The following is an 18192-nucleotide window of genomic DNA, read 5'->3' as shown; positions in this document are numbered from 1 at the left end:
TGCAGCCAAAGCGCATGGGGGGCATTTGAGGGAACTGCCTCTTCTCCAAATGGCCAGGAAGCCCAGCCTCTCCCTCTACCCCAAGTCCCGGCCCTTCAAATCATTCATTCCACCCAGACTCACCTGTGGCTTCAGCTTTTGCTCCTCCTCCCAATGGTGAGGTGGACATTTTCCCCTTGATCCCCCCATCCCCCAAGACCTCCTCTCTCCCCACAAAAGCATCAAAGCAAAGCACGCCCTCATCGACGCCAACTCTCTTGGCCACCTTCTCTTCGTACAAACAGAGGTTTTATTGCGTTTGGTCCACAGTCGTATTTCACATTATCTCACGGAGCAGGTCCCCTGGGTGGGGGGTCCCTGTGCAGTACTTGGCGGGGCATGTGGCCGGGGAAGATGGAGCAGTATAAGCTGGTCGGGCCCAGAAGGGAGGAGGGCTGGGGGCTCCTTAAAACCTACTGAGGGGCTGGGCACGGTGGCTCACACCTGTAATCTCAGCGCTTGGGGAGGCGGAGGCGGGCGGATCACACCTGAGGCCAGGAGTTCGAGACCAGCCTGGCCAACATGGGGAAACCCCATCTCTACTAAAAATACAAAAATTAGCCGGGCGTGGTGGAGCACCTGCAGTCCTAGCTACTCAGGAGGCTGAGGCTGGAGAATCGCTTGAGCCCGGAAGGTGGAGGTGCAGTGAGCCAAGATGGCGCCACTGCACTCCAGCCTGGGCAACAACCACAACTGAAAAAAAAATCTACTGAGGCCAGAGTGGGTTGGGGCGGGGAGCATGGAGAGGGGGTCAGGCTTAGCCCCAACAACTCAGAATTTCACTTCCTTGTACGGCCCTCACTTTCTCCACCTGGCCCCGGGGCAGGTCTGAGGGTCTGAAGTCTGTTGGTCTGAAGGTCCTAGGCAAATCCAGTCACTTGGGAGCCGGAGATATTTAACATCACGGCCCGGTCCCCTTTCCCAGGGGACTCATTTCCTAGCACTCTCTCCACTGTCCTTGCCCCACCCCTGGGGGAAAAAATGTATTTTTCTTTTGTGAATACTTCCTGAAACTTGCGGGCATAGAAACCACAAACTGCTCAGCTGACAAAAGGGGGAAGAGGCGAGGCAAGCAGAAACCGTCGGGGACCGGTTCCTTCCAAGCCCAGGTCTCTTCTTCCCAGCACAGCCTGAATGTGCCAGCAGGGACCCTCGCCCTACACGTATTGGGATATGGCCTTGACCCCTTCCCCCACAGCCCAGTGGCTCAGCCTTGCGAAGGATCAAGGCAAAGGGGAAAAAAGCTCTGCTGCCTGATCCCACGCTGACACTCACAGACCCTTGGTTGACTGGCAGCACTGAACGGGTTAAGAAAAAAAAAAAAAAGATGAAAACACAGAAAAACCCAAAAACCCAGATGGGCAGACGATGTGGGGAGAGAGCGTGCTGGGAGCCTCAGTAGCCGGCCTCCTCCTGGTAGTAAGGGGGATATTCAGGGACCTCCCCCGGGTCCGGGCAGTCGCCGGTGCCCGAGGGAGCCCCATCGGCCACTGTGCCTTGCGGGCAGTACTTGGGGTCATATATCTGCCGGCCCAGGCCGAAGACCTGGCCGCTCTGGTTGGCGCCCTGCGTGTAGCCCATCTGCAGGGACATGGAGGAGTTGTCACACTTGTCGGTTCCCAGCTTGGTATCATAGATGTGCCGCCGGGTCCCGGGAGCCGTCATGCCCACCTGGAGAGGAAGGAGGGGTGGAGCAGGTCATGGTGGAGAGAAGAGGGGACCTTCACTGGGTGCACTGGCTCACGCCTGTAATCCCAGCACTTTGGGAGGCCAAGGTGGGAGGATCACCTGAGGTCAGGAGTTCCAGTCCAGCCTGGCCAACACGGTGAAACCCTGTCTCTCCCAAAAATACAAAATTAGCTGGGCGTGGTGGCACATGCCTGTAATCCCAGCTACTCGGGAGGCTGAGGTGGGAGGATCACCTGAGGTCAGAAGTTCAAGACCAGCCTGGCCAACACGGTGAAACCCCATATCTACTAAAAATACAAAAATTAGCCGGGCGTGGTGGCGGGCGCCTGTAGTCTCAGCTACTCGGGAGGCTGAGGTGGGAGGATCACCTGAGGTCAGGAGTTCAAGACTAGCCTGACCAACACAGTGAAACCCCGTCTCTACTAAAAATACAAAAATTAGCTGGGTGTGGCCGGGTGCGGTGGCTCACACCTGTAACCCTAGCAGTTTGGGAGGTCAAGGCGGGTGGATTGCCTGAGCTCAGGAGTTCGAGACCAGCCTGGGCAACATGGTGAAACCCCATGTCTACTAAAAATACAAAAATTGGCCGGGTGTGGCAGCATGCACCTGTAGTCCCAGCTACTCGGGAGGCTGAGGCAGGAAGGAGAATCTCTTGAACCCGGGAGGCAGAGGTTGCAGTGAGCCGAGATCGTGCCACTGCACTCCAGCCTGGACAACAGAGTGAGATCCTATCTCAAAATAAATACATAAATAAAATAAATAAAGATTAAAAAAAAAGAATTGGGTGGACCTTTGGGCAGTCCTTAAGGGAAAATGACACAGGGTGAGGTAGTAACTTCCCTAGAGACCCACAGCCAGGTGGAAATGACAGAGGCTGAAATCCAAGGCGGAGACAGAGAGCGGGGAGGGAAGCCGGAGGTGGTCTAGGGAAGGGGCTGAGACTGAGAGTGGGGAGAGAAGCTGGAGGTGGCCCCAGGGAGGGGCCGAGACCACAGGGTGTAGAGGGGCAGGGAGAGGAGTCGGGGGCACCCGGGCGAGCCCCACCTGGCTGGCACACTTGTTCGTGCCCATCTGGAGGCTGATGGTCGAGTGGTCCATGGGGGGCAGGATATGGTTCTTGGGGTCATAGAGATGCCTTCTCGTGCCGTAGGCAGTCATGCCCGACTGGCTGGCGCATTTGTTGGTGCCCATCTGCAGGGAGGTTCGTGGGAGAGGTCAGACTGCACCCAACAAGCTTCCGGTCCCTCCCTGAAATTGAGGGACCACAGGGCTCCATGCCGCTGTCCCCCAATGCTGCTGTCCCCCAACACCGTGGTCCCCCAATGCCGTGGTCCCTGGGGCTGGGGGAGCTGTCGCCCACCTGCAGCCCGATGACGCACTGGCCAGCCTTCATGGTGGCATCGTCGAAATTCCGCTCCTGCTTCTCCGAGTACTTGACGCCAATGTCCACCCCGCTCTGCAGCCCCTTAGTCTTGGCCTGGGTGAGGGAAAGGGGCCGGGAGTACCAGCAGAGGGCAGCCAGGGACCCTAGATCTAGGCCCTGGGGGCGGGACAGAGACCAGGCCGCGGCCTGTCACCTCTGCCTGCCGCGCAGAGCCCCCACAGGCACATCTCTCGGGTGTCTGGGACTCCACACACTCCACACACCCATCATACAGCTGTTTCAGTTTTTTATTTTTATTTTTGAGATGGAGTCTGGCTCTGTCACCCAGGCTGGAGTGCAGTGGTGTGATCTCCGCTCACTGCAACCCCCTCCTCCCAGGTTCAAGCAATTCTCCTGCCTCAGCCTCCCAAGTAGCTAGGATTACAGGCGTGTGCCACCACGCCAGGCTAATTTTTGTATTTTTAGTAGAGACGGGGTTTCACCATGTTGCCAGGCTGGTCTTGAACTCCTGGCCTCAAGTTATCCACCCGCCTCAACCTCCAAAAGTGCTGGGATTACAGGCGTGAGCCACCGCGCCCAGCCCATGGGGCTGCTTCATCCCAGCGTGCCTTGTCTTAGGCAACAGCTCAGCTTTCCAGGGCTCAGGCCAAGAATTCTGGGGATGGGGACGTGGTTTTCGCTTCCTCTCTCTCACCTTCCACCACCTCCTCTGACCCAATCCCCGGGCACCATGGCCAGGCCATTGGCTCTGCCCCTCACTGGGATGTCTGCGCCCGGCTCCTCCCTGACCACCATTCCCCACGTGAGGTTACTGGGAGCCACAGGGGGCATCTGAAAACACCATTTGGAGCAGTTACCCCAGGAGAAAACCAGCTCCCGCTTCCTCTAACAGCCCAGCCAATTCCAATGTCAAGACCTTGCTGTTCCTTCTACGTGAGACACCATGTCACAAACACACACTCCCATTCCATTCTACACCAGACACCGTGTCCCACCCACGCTCCCGGTCTACACCAGACACCGTGTCCCACCCACGCTCCCCGTCTACACCAGACACCGTCCCACCCACGCTCCCCGTCTACACCAGACACCGTGTCCCACCCACGCTCCCCGTCTACACCAGACACCGTGTCCCACCCACGCTCCCGGTATACACCAGACACCGTCCCACCCACGCTCCCGGTCTACACCAGACACCGTGTCCCACCCACGCTCCCGGTCTACACCAGACACCGTCCCACCCACGCTCCCGGTCTACACCAGACACCGTGTCCCACCCACGCTCCCGGTCTACACCAGACACCGTCCCACCCACGCTCCCGGTCTACACCAGACACCGTGTCCCACCCACGCTTACCGTCTACACCAGACACCGTGTCCCACCCATGCTCCCGGTCTACACCAGACACCGTCCCACCCACGCTCCCGGTCTACACCAGACAATGTGTCCCACCCACGCTCCCGGTCTACACCAGACACCGTCCCACCCACGCTCCCGGTCTACACCAGACACCGTGTCCCACCCACGCTCCCGGTCTACACCAGACACCGTCCCACCCACGCTCCCCGTCTACACCAGACACCGTGTCCCACCCACGCTGCCGGTCTACACCAGACACCGTCCCACCCACGCTCCCCGTCTACACCAGACACCGTGTCCCACCCACGCTGCCGGTCTACACCAGACACCGTCCCACCCACGCTCCCGGTCTACACCAGACACCGTGTCCCACCCACGCTGCCGGTCTACACCAGACACCGTCCCACCCACGCTCCCCGTCTACACCAGACACCGTGTCCCACCCACGCTCCCGGTCTACACCAGACACCGTCCCACCCACGCTCCCGGTCTACACCAGACACCGTGTCCCACCCACGCTCCCGGTCTACACCAGACACCGTGTCCCACCCACGCTCCCGGTCTACACCAGACACCGTCCCACCCACGCTCCCGGTCTACACCAGACACCGTGTCCCACCCACGCTTACCGTCTACACCAGACACCGTGTCCCACCCACGCTCCCGGTCTACACCAGACACCGTCCCACCCACGCTCCCGGTCTACACCAGACAATGTGTCCCACCCACGCTCCCGGTCTACACCAGACACCGTCCCACCCACGCTCCCGGTCTACACCAGACACCGTGTCCCACCCACGCTCCCGGTCTACACCAGACACCGTCCCACCCACGCTCCCCGTCTACACCAGACACCGTGTCCCACCCACGCTGCCGGTCTACACCAGACACCGTCCCACCCACGCTCCCCGTCTACACCAGACACCGTGTCCCACCCACGCTCCCGGTCTACACCAGACACCGTCCCACCCACGCTCCCGGTCTACACCAGACACCGTGTCCCACCCACGCTGCCGGTCTACACCAGACACCGTCCCACCCACGCTCCCCGTCTACACCAGACACCGTGTCCCACCCACGCTCCCGGTCTACACCAGACACCGTCCCACCCACGCTCCCCGTCTACACCAGACACCGTGTCCCACCCACGCTCCCGGTCTACACCAGACACCGTGTCCCACCCACGCTCCCGGTCTACACCAGACACTGTCCCACCCACGCTCCCGGTCTACACCACTGTCCCACCCACGCTCCCGGTCTGGGTTTGAAGATCACTAGACACTCAACATTCGTCTGATTCTTCTCCTTCAAGGCATTTCTCCCAGTTCAGAGCTTATTTATTACTTTTGTTATGATTATTTTTTGAGAGAGTCTTGCTCTGTTGCCCAGGCTGGAGAGCAGTGGTGTGGTCATAGCTCACTGCAACCTCTTAACTCCTGGGCTCAGCCTCCCGAGTAGCTGGGATTACAGGCATGCACCACCACGCCCAGGTAATTTTTGTTTTCTTAGTAGAGATGGGGTTTCACCATGTTGGCCAGGCTGGTCTCGAACTCCTGGTGTCAAGCAATTCTCCAACCTCGGCCTCCCAAAGTGCTGGGATTACAGGTGTGAGCCACTGCGCCCGGCCAGAGCTTACATATAATGCATAATACAATGCTGTGTTCACTTTTGCATGCCTCCGCCATCAGACTGAACTGCATAAGGGGTAGACCATGTCCTTCCTGTTCACCAAGGAATCTGAAGTACCTGGCACCTCACGGATGCTCAGAAATATTTGTAAACGAGGCCGGGCACAGGGGCTCATGCCTGTAATCCCAGCACTTGGGGAGGCCGAGGCGGGCGGATCACCTGAAGTCAAGAGTTCAAGACCAGCCTGGCCAGCATGGTGAAACCCAGTCTCCACTAAAAATACAAAAATTAGCCAGGCGTGGTGGCAGGTGCCTGTAATCCCAGCTACTCGGGAGACTGAGGCAGAAGAATCGCTTGAACCTGGGAGTTGGAGGTTGCAGTGAGCTGAGATCACGCCATTGCACTCCAGCCTGAGTGACAGAGTGAGACTCCGACTCAAAAATAAACAAACAGAAATTTGCAAACGAGTGAATGCAGCAGCTACATCCACCTCGCTGTGTGACTCTGGGCAGGTGGCTGCCCCTCTCTGGGCCTCACCTTCCCCGCCAGGGCGAGAAGAGACACCTGCACCTGCGTCATGTTCCCACTCTCAAACAGGTCGTTGGCCTCGAACAGGTCCACAGGGTTCATGCCGTAGCTGACCATGGCCTTGATGAAGTTGGACAGGTTTTCTAGCTGGGAAGAGGCAGGAGAGGGACAGTGAGTGGGCCTCAGTCTCCCCACCTGTTAGATGGGCCCCCAGCACCATCCCTGCTCCGCTCCACCAGCCCCTCACCTGGTGCCAGTTCTGCATGGAGCGGTTGATCTTGGGGACGGAGCCCGGCTGTAGCTTGTTCATGAGTCTGGAGGGCACAACATGGGGCGGGGGAAACAGAAACCTCTGTGAGCAGCGAGGAACCGTGAAGACCCGATGCTGATCTCAGCCAAGCTCACGCCTTCCTGGGCAAACTCACGGCCTCTCTCTGGGCCTCAGTTTCCACTCTTTTTTTTTTTTTTTTTGAGACGGCGTCTAGCTCTGTCACCCAGACTAGAGTGCAATGGCACTATCTAGACTCACTGCCACCTCCACCTCCCGGGTTCAAGTGATTCTCCTGCCTCAGCCCTGAGCCTCCCGAGTAGCTGGGATTACAGGTGCCTGCCACCACACCCGGCTAATTTTTGCATTTTTAGTAGAGATGGAGTTTCACCATGTTGTCCAGGCTGGTCTCGATCTCCTGACCTCGTGATCCGTCCACCTCAACCTCCCAAAGTGCTGGGATTACAAGCGTGAGCCACCATCCCAGGCCTCAAGTTTCCACTCTTATAAAGTAATCTTTGGCTGGGTTTGGTGGCTCAGGCCTGTAAGCCCAGCACTTTGGAAGGCCGAGGCAGGCAGATCACGTGACGTCAAGGGCTCAAGACCAGCCTGGCCAACATGGAGCAACCCCATCTCTACTAAATATACAAAAAAAATTAGCCGGGCATGGTGGCAGTCGCCTGTAATCCCAGCTACTCGGGAGGCTGAGGCAGGGGAATCACTTGAACCCAGGAGGTGGAGGTTGCAGTGAGCCGAGATCATGCCACTGCACTCCAGCTTGGGCAACAGAGTGAGACTCCACCTCAAAAAAAAAAAATTATTTATTTAGCCACCACGCCCAGCTAACTTTTTTTTTTTTTTTTTTTTTTTTTTGAGATGGAGTCTCGCTGTGTCACCCCGGCTGGAGTGCAATGGTGTGATCTCGGCTCACTGCAACCTCCGCCTCCCGGGTTCAAGCAATTCTCCTTCCTCAGCCTCCTGAGTAGCTGGGATTACAGGTGCCTGGCTAATTTTTTTGTATTATTAGTACAGACGGGGTTTCACCATGTTGGCCAGGCTGGTCTCGAACTCCTGACCTCGAGATCCACCGCCCCCCGCCACCACCCTCGGCCTCCAAAAGTGCTGGGATTACAGGCATGAGCCAGGCCATGCCCGGCCCCCCAAAAATTTCTTAATTAAGAAAAAAAGTGAGAAAAACCAAGATTTGTTAAGTGTGAGACAGCCTGTGTCCCTGCGTGTACTCACGTGCATAAGATAGTTCCATCCTTCAGGCCCTTCTGGAAGTCGGGGCCGATGGAGAGGCCGGTGAGTCCCTCGATCCAGGTGCGGAGCTCTGCCTCCTTCTGGGGGTCATATTTGGACAGGAGCTGGTGGAGCAAAGGGCACGAGACTGAGCTGGGCTGGGGGCACCCCCAGCAGGAACCCCACAGAAGCTCTGCAGAGGGTGGGGCCGGGGACTCCAGGGCAACAGCAGATAGAGCGGCCTGGAGGTCCCCCCTCACCACACCCACGCAGATGCTCCCTTTTCCCATCATTGGGGGCGCCCCAGCCACTGCAGGCGGGCACAGATAAACCGCCCTCCAAGCAGGCCGACAACCGGCTTAGAACTCACTGATAAACATCAGCTCTAATCCACTCCCGGTGCAGGACAAACCTGGCCGGATCTGCCTCCCCGCCCTGCCTTCTCACCTCCCCGCTATATCACACCTGACGTTTACCACTTCAACCACCTGAAACCGCACCATTTCACAGCATTTCGTACGTCTGCAATGTTGTGCAACCATCAGCTCTTTTTTCTTTTTTATTTTTTTTGAGACAGAGTCTCACTCTGTCGCCCAGGCTGGAGTGCAGTGGTGCGATCTCGGCTCACTGCAAGCTCCGCCTCCCCGGTTCAGGCCATTCTCCTGCCTCAGCCTCCCGAGTAGCTGGGACTGCAGGCGCCCGCCACCAGGCCCAGCTCATTTTTTGTATTTTTAATAGAGACGGGGTTTCACCGTGTTAGCCAAGATGGTCTCCATCTCCTGACCTCGTGATCTGCCCGTCTCAGCCCTCCAAAGTGCTGGGATTACAGGTGTGAGCCACCGCGCCCGGCCCCCATCCTGCTTCTTAGCAACTCCCGAAGGAGCTGCCCCCGAGGCTGACCGCCTCTAGTCACGCACCTGGCTCCTTGCCACCGATTCCCTGCCACCTTTCTGCACCCGGCCATTCCAGCTTTCTTGGCCTTCGGTGCTCTGAGACACCGCCGTGGGGAATGGGCTGTGTGCTCCTGGGCAGTGGGTGTGCACCAGTGGGGACCTCGAGTGTCCCTATCCAGCCACTAGTGACCGCGGAGACAGCACTGAGGCAGACGGCAAAGTGTATAGGGGGCCATAAGCATGGGGGCAGGTCGTGTAGCGGGAGCGGGAGATAAACGCTGGAGGGAGAATAAAGTAGGGTTTGGGCTGGGTGCGGTGGCTCACACCTACAATCCCAGCACTTTGGGAGGCCAAGGCGGGCGGATCATCTGAGGTCAGGAGTTCGAGACTGGCCTAGCCCACATGGTGAAATCCCGTCTGTACTAAAATACAAAAATGAGCTGGGCGTGGTGGTGGGCACCTGTAGTCCCAGCTACTTGGGAGGCTGAGGCAGGAGAATCGCTTGAACCCAGGAGGCAGAGGAGGCAGTGAGCCAAGATCGGGCCACTTCACTCCAGCCTGGAACAGAGTGAGCCTCTGTCTTAAAAAAAAAAAGAAAGAAAAGAGAGAAGGAAAAAAAAAATCAAATCCCTCTCCCTGCTCTGCACCCATCTCCCCAGGTTCCCGCGGACAGCTCCCCACTCAGCCTCCGCTTCCTCATCTCTTCCTGGGATTATTTGGGTTAGGGTCCCCTGACCTGGACCTGCCTGGGATGATTTGGGTTAGGGTCCCCTGAGCTGGACCTGCCTGGGATGATTTGGGTTAGGGTCCCCTGAGCTGGACCTGCCTAGGATGATTTGGGTTAGGGTCCCCTGAGCTGGACCTGCCTGGGATGATTTGGGTTAGGGTCCCCTGAGCTGGACCTGCCTGGGATGATTTGGGTTAGGGTCCCCTGAGCTAGACCTGCCTGGGATGATTTGGGTAGGGTCCCCTGACCTGGACCTGCCTGGGATGATTTGGGTTAGGGTCCCCTGAGCTGGACCTGCCTGGGATGATTTGGGTTAGGGTCCCCTGAGCTGGACCTGCCTGGGATGATTTGGGTTAGGGTCCCCTGAGCTAGATCTGCCTGGAATGATTTGGGTAGGGTCCCCTGAGCTGGACCTGCCTGGGATGATTTGGGTTAGGGTCCCCTGAGCTGGACCTGCCTGGGATGATTTGGGTTAGGGTCCCCTGAGCTGGACCTGCCTGGGATGATTTGGGTTAGGGTCCCCTGAGCTGGACCTGCCTGGGATTATTTGGGATAGGGTCCCCTGACCTGGACCTGCCTGGGATTATTTGGGTTAGGGTCCCCTGACCTGGCACCTGCCTGGAAACAGCTCGTAGCCCAGAGGAGGCAAAGGCGGGGAGGCCCCCCAGTACCAGCTCACAGCCCACCCAGCTTGGCTTTCCACGCCCGGGGGCAGCCCCGCCCCGCCGGCAACTTTGATCCCGAGGAATGAGAACGGTGGCTGCTGGGTACACAGCCCTGCCTTGCCCAGCTGCGCCGCGTCTCTGCCGGCTCAGGGGCCCAGGTCCCCTGGCCCCACCCCCAGCCGCTGCCGTCCTCCCCCACCCCCGCCCCCCCGCTGCCCGGCCGCCGGCCTTCCAGCACATTCCTGTTCACCACAAACTGCCAGGAATGCGCGCTGCCTCCCCGGCTAAATCTGAACCAGCTGTTCCCAGCGGGTCCGGACCCCCAAGCCGGGATGCAAGGCCGCAGACACTGTGGATCCGAGCTGCCTCCGTGCCGTCCAGCCGGGAGTCAACTGAGCCACGGGGAAGCGGGGCGGGGGGCGGGTCTCTGGCTGTTTCAAGCAGCCGGTAAAGCGGGTGTGAGCGGGAAGCCAGGGGGAAGCTGGTTTCTAATTGGGAGGCGACCCTTCCGTGACCCTGGCAAGCTGGCCGACGCCTCGCCCACCCTCCAAACGGACAGACTGAGGGTTGCGCGGGGAGCCTGCTAAGCGGCTCTTCCAGCCTCTGTCCTCACCCCCGCCAGGGCAGGTATCAACCTGCCCCCACCCCACCCCACCCCGTCTCCGGAAGCCGCCCCACCCTCCTGTGCCCGCTCCCACTTCCGCAGGCCCAGCAGGTACTGGGTTCCGGTCTTGGCCCTGTCACTTGTGGGCTGTGTGGCCCTGGGCAGCTGGAACGACGTCTCTGGGTCCCTGTGGACACCGGTGCCCTTAGCCGGCTGTATGCAGGGTGCGGCAGGGTGCCCACCCCACTGCACGGGGGGCTCTATGAATGCAGGGTGCAGATGGCCCCTTGAAGGAGGAGTCGTGAGCCCCGGGCTGGGGACCCTGGCTCAGGCCTTGACCACCCCAAGCCTCAGCCTCCCTTTTTGGCCAAGAGCTGGTCTGAAGGCTTGCAGGGGCTCACAGCGGGGAAGCAGGAATTCTCCCTCCAGTCTGCCGGCCCTGGAGTGCCGCCGGGCAGGTGGCTGTTGGGGCTGGCAGGGCCGGTGCCCTCAGAGCGTGCAGAGGCAGTTTCCCCTGCAGAAGTCAGCTGTAAGGACACCTTCCCAGGTGCCCAGTGGGCGTCGGGGGAGGGGGTGGGCGGGGACGACACCCCCCTCCAGCTGGAAGGTCCTGGAGGGTCAGGTCCCGGTCCTGTCCGTGGGTCTCGCATCACAACCCCCGCCCCCCACTTTCCCTGGGAATCCTGTCCAGGACCCTGCTGTGTGACCCTGCAGAAGTGTCTGGTCCTCTCTGAGCTAGAACCACAAGTGCTCTCTTAAAAAGTGTCTCCCCTAGCCCTGGCTTGTTTTTAATTATAGAGATGGGGTTTCGCCATGTTGCCCAGACTGGTCTCGAACTCGCTGGGCTCAAGCCATCCACCCAGCTCCGCCCCCCAAAGTGCTGGGATTACGGGCGTGAGCCCCCGCGCCCTGCCGGGCCCCAGCTCTTCTTTCGAGGCTGCAAAACCCCACATATCTCAGGGCCACCTTCAGAGAACCTCTTTGTTATCCGTTTAAATTAGTCAGATGGGAGACAAAGACCGTGCAAAGCGGCTACCGCCCCTCCCCCCAAGACACCCCCAAGGTGTCCCAGAGGCCAGGAAATTCCTGTTTGTGGGGGGGTAACACTTCTCAAAAACCACTCGGCCATGCCCCTTCCCCTCCCAAAGCTAAGAGGCCCCAAAAGCAGAAGTGTGGCCAGGAGATGACGGGGTTGCTGGGGTCCCCCCCAGACCCCCAGAGCGTTGTCGGACCTTGAACGGACCTTCTCGAAGGTTGAGTGGGCGCCAGGGGCTTCACACGTGGGGGTCCTGGGGCCATGGCGAGGGGACGAAGTCAGACCCAACTACCCCTAGATGTTGGGGGGGGGAATGGGTCACTCGTCCCCCAGATCTCAGACCTGGGTGCTCCCCAAGATTCGCGGGAGCCTCAGGGGGTGCCCGCAGACATCCCCCCACCAGGCGTCAGGGAGAACAAGGGCCCGTCCGCCCCGGGTCTCCAAGCTCCCTGCCCGGGAGGTGCCGGGGGCGCCTGGGGGCTCCTGCACCGGTCGGAGCGTGCGACGGCCGCGCTGTCGGGGGGACAAGGGGCGCCCCTCACTCACCCGGTTCTTGACCTCGGCCGACAGCCCGTACGAGGGGCCCTTGTTGAACTGCGTGGAGCTCATGGCTGGCGGGCGGGCGGCGGGACGGGGCCGCACAGGACGGGACGGGACGGGACCGCCGGGCTGGCGCGGGGTTGGGACGCGCCGGGCTCCGCGCGCCACGCCCCCGCCGCTGATTGGCCCGGAGCGCAAATGTCCTTATAAGGCCTGGAGGCGCCGAATTCCTGCGGCCGCGGACTTCCTGAGCCCCCTCGGTCGCCCCCGGACCCCCGCCTGGGCACAGCACCCCCGTCACCAGAGGCCTGGAGGGGCCCCTCGCCCCCTTTGATGCCACGGGAAACTGAGGCAGGGAGGGGCCGAGGCCGCCGGGACGTGGCACTCCTGCGGGCTCTCTGCTCAGAGCTCGTGGGCGGCTCTCACTCTTTCTCCATCTCAGACTTCTCTTCTGCCAGAAAGGGGAGGGGAGAAGGCTACCTTTGGGGCAGGAATGAGGGCCCCTCTCTGCCACTTAGAGGCGTCTAACCCCTTCCCAGGGAACTCTACTAGCTGGGAGGTGGACCAGGGAACCAGGGCAGGTTCCTCAGAGAAGGGGCCATTGGAGCTGGGGCTTTGTTGGATGAGTAGGAGTTTGTCAGTCCAAAAGAGAATAGGATTCTTACTGGGTGCGGTAGCTTGCACCTGGAGTTCTAGCTACTTGGGAGGCTGAGGCCGAAGGGGGAGGATCCGTTGAGCCCAAGAGGTCGAAGCTGCAGTGAGTTATCATCACAACATGACGCTCCAGCCTGGGCAGCAGAGCAAGAGCCTCTCTCTAAAAATAAATAAATAAATAAAAATAAAAATCCGAGTGGCTCACGCCTGCAATCCCAGCACTTTGGAAGGCCGAGGCGGGCGGATCACTTGAGGTCAGGAGTTCCAGACCAGCTTGGCTAACATGGCGAAACTCCGTCTCTACTAAAAATACAAAAATTAGCCGGGCATGGGGGCACATGCCTGTAATTCCAGCTACTGAGGAGGCTGAGGTGGGAGGATCACTTGAAGCCAGGAGGCGGAGGTTGTAGTAAGTCGAGATCGCGCCACTGCACTCCAGCCTGGGCGACAGAGCAAGACTCCGTCTTAAAAAAAAAAACAAAAAAAAAAAACACAAAAAAACCCTAATAATAATAAATTATTAAAAAGTCTCCGGGACAGTCTCCTGCCAGGCAGTGCTGGCTCTCAGGAGACCTTAGCTCTGGCCCAGCCCATGCCCAGGAAGACAGAGCTGGCACAGACCAACCCCCAACCCGGATTCCCTGTATGAGCCAGCACAGGCGGAACCCCCCCACCCCGCCCACCCTGTTTCCCTATATGAGCAAGTACAGGACAGAATGAGAGGCTTGGGGCTGGAGGAACTGGAGGGAGAGTTGGGGCTCTGTCGGAGGAATCAAGGAAAGCTGCATGTAAGAGGAGGCAAGGGAGATGGGGTTTTGAAGCATCAATAGGAGTTTGACACATTTTATTTTATTTTATTTTATTTTATTTTATTTTATTTTATTTTATTTTATTTTTAGTAGAGATGGGGTTTCACCATGTTGGCCAGGCTGGTCTCGAACCCCTGACCTCAGGTGATCCACCCGCCTCAGCCTCCCAAAGTACTGTGATTACAGGCTTGAACCACTGCACCTGGCCGACCCATGTCATTTTAGACCAGTGCTGACCATTTCTGTTATTCTGAGATGAAGGAAATTTTCAATGTGGCACTATCTACTACTGTAGCCACTGGCCATGGGGCTACTGAGCACTGGAAGTGTGGCTGGTGCCATCAGGGAAGCAAATACTTCATGTTCTTTTTATTTTATTTTATTATTATTTTTTGAGACGGAGTCTCGCTCTGTCACCCAGGCTGGAGTGCAGTGGCGCAATCTTGGCTCACTGCAAGCTCCACCTCCTGGGTTCACGCCATTCTCCTGCCTCAGCCTCCCCAGCAGCTGGGACTACAGGCACACCTCCACACCCAGCTAATTTTTGTATTTTTAGTAGAGACGGGGTTTCACTGTGTTATCCAGGATGGTCTCGATCTCCTGACCTCGTGATCTGCCCGCCTCAGCCTCCCAAAGTGCTGGGATTACAGGTGTGAGCCACCGCACCCAGCAAATACTTCCTATTCTTAAATTTCAATTAAAAATTAAAAACTGGCACTAGATTCCATTTTTTGAAGACACATATATATAAATACACATATATATGTAGCTGGGACTCCGAGTAGCTGGGACCGTAGACACGCACCACCACGCCTGGCTAATTTTTGCATTTTTAGTAGAGATGCGGGTTTCACCATGTTGGCCAGGCTGGTCTTGAACTCCTGACCTCAAGTGATCCGCCGGCCTCAGCCTTCCGAAGTGCTGGGATTATAGGTGTCAGCTGCCGTGGCCGGGCTATTTCAATTAATTTCAGTTAAAAATTAAAAACTGACATGATTTCCGTTTTTGACTATATATATATGTACACACACATTAAAGTTTTCAAATACATAAATACACACATATGTACACATTATACATATAAATGTAAATATATAGATATTTGAAACAGGGTCTTGCTCTGTCACCCAGGCTGGAGTGCAGTGGTGCAAATATAGTTCACTGCAGCCTCGACCTCCTGGACTCAAGTAATCTCCTGCCTCAGCCTCCTGAGTATCTGGGACTACAGGCATGTGCCATATGCCTAGCTAATTTTTAAATTTTTTGTAGAGATGGGGTCTCCCTATGTTGCCCAGTCTGGATTCAAGTGATCCTCCCGCCTCAGCCTCCCAAAGTGCTGGGATTGCAGGCGTGAGCCACCGTGCTCAGCCTCGTGTATATTTTAAATACCTTAGCGTTTCTGAATTTTCCTTTTCAGTATAAACGCTGTAAATCTAAATACTGTGGAGATAAGTATTTCTGAGGAAGCACTGGTATCCATATTGGAACACCCCATGGATGGGAAACACACCAGATTCTGAAGACTTGGTACATCTCAGTTACTTTTTTTTTTTTTTTTTTTTTGAGAAGTAGTCTCGCTCTGTCACCCAGGCTGGGGTGCAGTGGCGTGATCTCGGCTCACTGCAAGCTCCGCCTCCCGGGTTCAGGCCATTCTTCTGCCTCAGCCTCCCGAGCAGCTGGGACTACAGGCGCCCGCCACCACACCCAGCTAATATTTTTGTATTTTTAGTAGAGACAGGGTTTCACCGTGTTTGCCAGGGTGGTCTCGATCTCCTGACCTCGTGATCCGCCCGCCTCGGCCTCCCAAGTGCTGGGATTACAGGTGTCAGCCACCGCGCCCGGCCACTTTTTTTTCGTTTATGAGGTGGGGTCTTGCTCTGTTGCCCAGGCTGGAGTGCAATGGTGCCATCACAGCTCACTGCAGCCTCCAACTCCTTGGCTTAAGCAATCCTCTTGCCTCAGCCTCCCAAGTAGCTGGGACCACAGGCACACACCACCGTGCCCAGCTAATTTTTGGTATTTTTCGTAGAGACAGGATCTCATTATATTGCCCAGGCTGGTCTTGAACACCTGGGCTGAAATGATCCTCCCGCCTCAGCCTCCAAAAGTGCTGAGATTACAGGCATGAGCCACCGCGCCTGACCTTGTTTGGATAACTTGAGATGTGTAAAATATATTATTAAAATTAATTTCACTTGCTCTTTTTTAGTTGTTTTACTGTGGCTACCAGAACACTTAAAGTTATGTTTGTTATTTGCTTATCTTTCTCTTGGAAAGCTGTGTTCTTGACCTGTGGGCCAAATCCAGCTGCAGCCTATTTTTGTATGGCTTGTGAGCTAAGAATGGCTCTTACATTTTTAAGTGGTTGAAAAAAAAACCCAAAATATGAAAACCATTCTATCAAACGTGGAAATTACATAACATTCAAATTCCAGTGTCTGCAGACAAAGCTTTATTGGCACACAGCTGTGCCCATCCATTTATGTATCATTTACGGCTGCGTTTTCTGTACAACAGCAGAGTGGAGTAGTTACTCTACCCAAAAAAGCTAAAAATACTGACTGTTGGCTTTTTTACACTTTATTTTTTAGAGACAGGGTCTCACTTAGTCATCCAACCTGGAGCGCAGGGATACGATCATGGCTCACTGCAGCCTCCAACTCCTGGGCTCAAGCAGTCCTCCCACCTCAGCCTCCCAAGTAGCTGGAATTACAGGCATGCACCAACGTCCTCAGTTAACTTTTAAAAACATTTTTTTGGGGGGGCCGGGCGCGGTGGCTCATGCCTGTAACTCCAGCACTTTGGGAGGCTGACGCGGGTGGATCACGAGGTCAGGAGTTCAATACCAACCTGGCCAAGATGATCAAACCTGGTCTCCACTAAAAATACAAAAAAAATAGCCGGGTGTGGTGGCGGAAGCCTGCAATCCCAGCTATTCAGGAGGCTGAGGCAGAGAATTGCTTGAACCCAAGAGGCGGAGGTTGCAGTGAGCCGAGATCACGCCACTGCACTCCAGCCTGGGCGACAGAGTGAGACTGCGTCTCAAAAAAAAAAAACAACACAAAACTTTTTTTTGGCGGGCTTGGTGGGTCACACCTGTAATCCCAGCACTTTGGGAGGCCTAGGCGGGCAAATCACCTAAAGTTAGGAGTTCGAGACCAGCCTGACCAACATGGAGAAACCGTCTCTACTAAAAATATAAAATTAGCCTGGAGTGGTGGCGCATGCCTGTAATCCCAGCTACTTGGGAGGCTGAGGCAGGAGAATGGCTTGAACCCGGGAGGCGGGGGTTGCAGAGAGCCGAGATCGCGCTTCTGCGCTCCAGCCTGGGCGACAGAGCGAGAATCCATCTCAAACAAACAACCAAAAAACCCAAAAACCATAGTATCCTCTTGTGTACGCAGCCGGCACTCAGTAAGTGCCCCTGAAGAGCACTTATTTATTCATTGCTGCGCGAAGCTACGGGGGCAGGTGGCACAGCGCCACGCAGGAGTAGAGACTGCCAGATTGTTCTACCGCCAACCTTAGTGGCGCCACAGGAGATGGACACGGGAAGACTATGACGTTACTGGCCCTGTGACGTCATGGCAGGATCCGGGCAAGAGAAGCCAAACGAGGTGACGAGCTGTAGACTACAGCAAAAATATGGAACGCTTCACGAATTTGCGTGTCATCCTTGCGCAGGGGCCATGCTAATCTTCTCTGTATCGTTCCAATTTTAGTATATGTGCTGCCGAAGCGAGCACGACTCAAGGGTTACTGTCACACCTATTTTAAGCCCTTCAATCAAATCATCTTTTGGTTAGGATAACTTATGGTCGGTTTCATATTTAGCATAATTTCCTACAGTGGTATGTTGCAGAACAACTTTCGTGCTTACGCTTACTTTGATGTCTTCGATCACGTAAAATCCCATATCTTATCGTAATTTTACCGCCTTATACTGGCCTCATAGCCGCGGTGGATTGTGGGTGCCAATATGCAAAAGAGGTGGCCCAGATGCAGGCCCGCCCCCTGGAGCGGCCGAGGTAGGGGGTGAGGCCTCCGCGGGCGCCGCTGGCATCCCAGCGTTCTCTGCGGGCGCAGGGGGGCCGCTCTTGCCCGGCGTGGCGACTCGCTAGCGTC

At 56.8% G+C, this 18192-nt stretch overlaps 1 protein-coding gene and 1 non-coding gene across 5 annotated transcripts, besides 8 other annotated features; both read right to left on the bottom strand.

Moving 5' to 3' along the window:
• Nucleotides 74–573: an enhancer, noted in NCBI's record as "H3K4me1 hESC enhancer chr19:1038761-1039260 (GRCh37/hg19 assembly coordinates)". NCBI's record gives its function as "activates a minimal SCP1, AML or CMV promoter by ChIP-STARR-seq in naive and primed H9 embryonic stem cells {active_cell/tissue: H9 hESC(naive and primed)}" and the evidence as "EXISTENCE:reporter gene assay evidence [ECO:0000049][PMID:30033119]".
• Nucleotides 270–12727, bottom strand: CNN2 (calponin 2). Of its 4 annotated transcripts, none has more exons than NM_001303501.2 (7): nucleotides 12611–12727; nucleotides 8143–8264; nucleotides 6877–6943; nucleotides 6639–6776; nucleotides 3089–3268; nucleotides 2773–2919; nucleotides 270–1710 (listed from the first exon to the last, which is right to left on the bottom strand). In NM_001303501.2, exons 1-7 carry the CDS (start codon nucleotides 12671–12673, stop codon nucleotides 1435–1437), a joined length of 993 nt encoding a protein of 330 aa, NP_001290430.1. In that variant the 5' UTR covers nucleotides 12674–12727; the 3' UTR covers nucleotides 270–1434. The 4 variants fall into 4 exon arrangements, with proteins under 4 accessions (NP_001290430.1, NP_004359.1, NP_001290428.1 ...); NM_004368.4 differs by having other exon boundaries at nucleotides 3089–3205; NM_001303499.2 differs by having other exon boundaries at nucleotides 3089–3205; nucleotides 6672–6776.
• Nucleotides 574–1075: an enhancer, noted in NCBI's record as "H3K4me1 hESC enhancer chr19:1038259-1038760 (GRCh37/hg19 assembly coordinates)". NCBI's record gives its function as "activates a minimal SCP1, AML or CMV promoter by ChIP-STARR-seq in naive and primed H9 embryonic stem cells {active_cell/tissue: H9 hESC(naive and primed)}" and the evidence as "EXISTENCE:reporter gene assay evidence [ECO:0000049][PMID:30033119]".
• Nucleotides 574–1222: a biological region, named in NCBI's record as "H3K4me1 hESC enhancer GRCh37_chr19:1038259-1038760".
• Nucleotides 663–1222: an enhancer, noted in NCBI's record as "active region_13579". NCBI's record gives its function as "activates an Ori minimal core promoter by ATAC-STARR-seq in GM12878 lymphoblastoid cells {active_cell/tissue: GM12878}" and the evidence as "EXISTENCE:reporter gene assay evidence [ECO:0000049][PMID:35858748]".
• Nucleotides 10775–10950: a silencer, noted in NCBI's record as "fragment chr19:1028384-1028559 (GRCh37/hg19 assembly coordinates)". NCBI's record gives its function as "represses an EF-1alpha promoter that drives an FKBP-Casp9 reporter gene in an ReSE screen in phorbol 12-myristate 13-acetate-treated (for megakaryocytic differentiation) K562 erythroleukemia cells {active_cell/tissue: K562(+PMA)}" and the evidence as "EXISTENCE:reporter gene assay evidence [ECO:0000049][PMID:32094911]".
• Nucleotides 12440–13079: a silencer, noted in NCBI's record as "silent region_9652". NCBI's record gives its function as "represses an Ori minimal core promoter by ATAC-STARR-seq in GM12878 lymphoblastoid cells {active_cell/tissue: GM12878}" and the evidence as "EXISTENCE:reporter gene assay evidence [ECO:0000049][PMID:35858748]".
• Nucleotides 13070–13801: an enhancer, noted in NCBI's record as "H3K27ac hESC enhancer chr19:1025533-1026264 (GRCh37/hg19 assembly coordinates)". NCBI's record gives its function as "activates a minimal SCP1, AML or CMV promoter by ChIP-STARR-seq in primed H9 embryonic stem cells {active_cell/tissue: H9 hESC(primed)}" and the evidence as "EXISTENCE:reporter gene assay evidence [ECO:0000049][PMID:30033119]".
• RNU6-2 (RNA, U6 small nuclear 2) lies at nucleotides 17707–17813 on the bottom strand. The gene has a single exon (NR_125730.1). It is a non-coding gene; the product is annotated as an RNA, U6 small nuclear 2 (small nuclear RNA).
• Nucleotides 18021–18130: a silencer, noted in NCBI's record as "silent region_9651". NCBI's record gives its function as "represses an Ori minimal core promoter by ATAC-STARR-seq in GM12878 lymphoblastoid cells {active_cell/tissue: GM12878}" and the evidence as "EXISTENCE:reporter gene assay evidence [ECO:0000049][PMID:35858748]".

The sequence above is a fragment of the Homo sapiens genome, chromosome 19 (genome assembly GCF_000001405.40).
Source record: "Homo sapiens chromosome 19, GRCh38.p14 Primary Assembly".
Taxonomy (NCBI): Eukaryota; Metazoa; Chordata; class Mammalia; order Primates; family Hominidae; genus Homo; species Homo sapiens.
The sequence above is the reverse complement of the archived record's forward strand: the minus strand, read 5'-3'. Positions and strand labels throughout refer to the sequence as shown.

Coding starts and splice junctions, on each gene's coding strand:
- CNN2 (NM_001303501.2), bottom strand. CDS start 12,673: ATGAGCTCCACGCAGTTCAACAAGGGCCCCTCGTACGGGCTGTCGGCC. Junction 6,777..6,876: donor CCATGCAGAACTGGCACCAG/GTGAGGGGCTGG, acceptor GCCTCTTCCCAG/CTAGAAAACCTGTCCAACTT. Junction 1,711..2,772: donor CGAACAAGTGTGCCAGCCAG/GTGGGGCTCGCC, acceptor CTTCCTCTCCAG/GTGGGCATGACGGCTCCCGG.